We start from the raw sequence: 4270 nt of genomic DNA on the forward strand, positions 1-4270 counted from the left end.
AGTTACTGAGTTTTCCCACTCTAATGCTGAGTATATATTAGTTAAAATGGCTCCTTTACTGCCCATGTTATTTCTTTTCCTAAAACTATAAGGGGATTGGGCATATGGTTAGGTTTTTCTAGCTTTTTAAAGTTGTTTGATGTTTAAGGAAAATCTGACTCAAACTCATGAGCTCCGCATGCCTAGAGAAGGCAGTTACCAACACTTCTTTAAGCCAGATGGCCTCCTTAGCATTTGTCAGTTTCCTTGAAAATGTATACCTTTAACTAAAGCAGGGCAAGGTTAAAGGGTATGGATGAATAATACCAATCACCATCAAAAGATAAGACTCCAAGAGCATCGCCTCCCAAAAGTGAACCAGGATATGAAAGACAGTAGGACACATTGATAGTGTCTAATTCTGCAGCATCCAATATGGTAGCTGCCACCCACATATGGTTGCTTAAATTTAAGTTCAAATTAATTTAAATAAAATTAAATTAAAGATTCTGTTGATCAGTTGCAATAGCCATATTTCAAGTGCTGAAAAGCCACGTGTGGCAAGTGGCTGCTGCACTGGATAGTGCATATACAAAGCATTTCCATTGTTGCAGAAATTGGCCTGAGCTGAGCCAGTATACATGCCTGGCATGTAATAGGCACCAGTGAAAATTAAAGAAAATAATGAAGACATTTTGAGTATCCAAGATGAAATGAGTAAAGTTTGTTTTTAGAGAAAACAATTTTTGTTTCACTTTTTACATATTCAAAGGCTTTGTCTCAGTCAATCTTAAACTTTTGGGGATATCTTAATATAGGTACCACACCAGAAAGAATATTAGGCTGGTCAGTTGAATTATTAAAGTGGTTTCTAACAATAACTGTAAAACATAAATTCAGCTCTATTTTTATCTCAATTGTCATTAATACTACCTTGTAGTTTGTATAAATTGAATTATATGAAACTATTTTAGCATACACAACTTTGCACATTCATTTCAGCTCAGAAAACTCTGAGAACTAAAGGTTATCATCCCTATTCTATAGATAGGAAAGTATGTTTATGCCACTGGATGAGTTATTAAAGTAACACTGCTATATTTAAATTTAGAGAAATTATGTGATAATGTATGGTAGCACAACTAATAACAAGGCCTCTCAGGCTTAAGCCCCGTTCCTGTGGCACAGAGTCTGGAACTCTTGACCCTGAATCATGTACCAGGAACACAATACCACAGCCCTTCAGCTGGCAAACTCAACTAAGACTCACATCAAATCCTTTGCATAATAAATAAAGCTGAATCTTTTGCGCTATTTTGAAGTATTTTGAGAATGGTAGAAATAATGAGAAACAGCACATCATTTTAAAATATTTTTGACATTCTTTGTTTAGTAGAGATGGTCAGATGTGATATAGAGAGATATTCATGGGATTTTACATTCCACAAGTGAAGCAGCATAACATTGTGCTCACTAGCACAAACTCTGACAGCTGCTTGGCTTCAAAGTATAAACTACACAATGTTGAGCAAATTACTTAATCTCTCAGATCTCAGTTTCCACAACTGTAAAATTTGAATAATAATATTGCTTCTCTCTAGATTTAAATACATTAATAAATGTAAAGTACTAATAATCATGCTTGGTAAATACTAAGGGCCCCAGAAATATTAGCTGGTTTTTGTTGTTGTTGTTGTTGTTGCTGCAGTTGTGATGATGTTGATGAGGCTTGACATGATAATGACTTCAAATCACTGACTATGAGAGTTTCCAAAGATGGTCCCCAGTTAGCAATGAACCTCCCAGTATTTATGCCTTTGTGTAATCTGCTTCTATATTGGACTGACTGGCTTCAACCAGTGAAATGTAGTGACACCATTCCAGTTTTAAGCCTAAGCCTTTTTAGGCCTGACAGCTTCTCCTGAGCTTTTGAGAGCCCTTGTGTTTTCATATAAGAAGTCCAGCTGACATGATACAGAGATATCATGTAGAGAGAAGATGTAGGAAGACCACAAAGAGAGGGTGAGACCTTGGAGACTAGATAGAAATGAAGAGGCCTGCCCATCCTACCACCCAAGTTCAGCCCAACCTTGCAGCCATCCTGCCAAGACACTGGAAGCCATCTTGGATGTTATAGTATTGGCCACCATTTGATGACAGCTACATGAGTGACACCAAGTTAGAACAGCAAAAGTACCATCCAGCTGAGCTCCAGTCAATCAACAGAAACCTAGGGAATAATTATATGTTGCTATTTTAAGTCACTTAATGGTGGGATGGCTCATTATGCAGCAATAGAGAACCAAAACACCTAGTATTAGTTGCAAAACTATATGTTAATCTTCAAAACCATTGATGAAACTTAAGGCCATTTGCCCATTGCCTCCACCTTTGATAATAAGTTTTTGTTTATCTGTCACATCTGCCTCATGCTTAATTTTTCCTAACACAAACTATTTTGTTTAAGCAAATCTGCTTAACCTATTGTTTAAGCAAATCTGCTTAACCTATCCTTTACATAAGCTTCCTTCCATTTTTATATCTCTTATCCATAGCATTTTCACTACCAGTGATAATATCATCTTTATTAGAGGTCAATCTATTTTTATTTTCTTCTTCTAGAATGCCTTCCTTAATTTTACTTGTATTCTTCCTTGGCTCACATGTACATATTTTGTACCACATAAATGCATTGATTTTATATGGTTTAAGATTGTGTCATTTGTGCCTCAATCAAACTTTCTCTTTGAAGAGTAGAAGTAATTTGTTTCCTATCCCCATGCAGTGTTTGGTATAAGGCACTGCTCCATATATAAACTGTCTCTCAGGGACAGACTAATATTACCAAACTCTAGAAATAACTAAAATTATCAATATGAGTTCATTAATTTATAATAAAAACAGCTATTTGCAAGGTCACTGAACAATAGACAATAGTTTCCTTACATTATGGAAATTTTAACCTCTAGGCCACAGACAAATTATAGTCAAAAGTTTGCCTGATGAGGGTGAAATGTTACTTATCTGATGTGAGTGCCTGATGACATTAATCGAAGAGAGTCTTATAAGCCCACATGCACAATAAGGTTATATCCACTGCCTAGCCCAGCAAGTCCTAGATTGTGTTGAATAAATTCTCCTCAAATGAATTTTATTGGGGCACTTCTACCTAATCAGTTAAATATCTTTTAAATCATCACATATAAATAATGTCTTGGATACTTTACTAGGTTAGTAAAATGCAAAGCATATTTGTACCCTGTTAGGTGGTGAAAAAGCTCACACTGACAGAGGTGGGATAATATTAGATTGAACCAGATAAAATTCTCTTTTTACTTTCTAGATAGTTTTGCAAATTTTGACAAAATAAGCATTAGTTTCAAACATGTATTAATATTTAAAACATTTATAAATATTTACTAAAATATTTGCTAAGCATTTACCATGTGTCAAGCATTAGGGATAAAGCAACAACCTAAATAAACAAAAATCCTTACCCCAGTGGAGGTTACATTTTAGGAAAAGTTTCTGGCTTACTAAAATAAATTTAAATAAATTTTGACTCCTTAAAATAAATTACTTAAAACAAATATATGCTTATATGTATATAGATATTGCTTCTTTGTATTAGAAAACATACATTTTACCTCAAATTTTGAACGTGCAATACTATCAAAAATAAGCAAATACCCCCACTGACGCTGAGATTAAGAACTGCAGTTTGCCAGACATGTAAAATGTTAACCATACCTCCTAGTGCATGAGTTGTAAAGCATTAAGTCATTGTATTCACATCAAGAATCATCAGAGCTCTTTAAAAAGTGATTTAAAATTCTTAAGCAAATCCGAAGCAAATGTCCAGTGCAGTCTATGTTCTCTGACATGTTTTAAATTAATGCTTATTTTGTTAAAATTTGCCAAAATATTTAGAAAGTGAAAAAAAGAATATTATTTGGTACCATCTAACATTATCTCACCTCTGTCAGTATGAGCTTTTTCACCACCTAACAGAATATAAATATGCCTTGCATTTTACTAACCTAATAATGTATCCAAGAGATCATTTACATGTGAGGAATAAAAAAAAATTTAATTGGCTAGGTAGAAGTGCTTCCTTTCCCACCCTCTACCTTCTCTCTAGAAGTATAAGTATTTAGCCTTCAGTAATACAGTGGGGATGACCTGAACATGTCCATAAACACATTTCCCTCTGCTTATCTAGGGCTCTCTTCCATTCATTGGGATCAGTGTTTAGATTATTTCCAGAGAGGGGACAGCACCTCATCAATGC

The sequence above is a fragment of the Homo sapiens genome, chromosome 4 (genome assembly GCF_000001405.40).
Source record: "Homo sapiens chromosome 4, GRCh38.p14 Primary Assembly".
NCBI classification, from domain to species: Eukaryota; Metazoa; Chordata; class Mammalia; order Primates; family Hominidae; genus Homo; species Homo sapiens.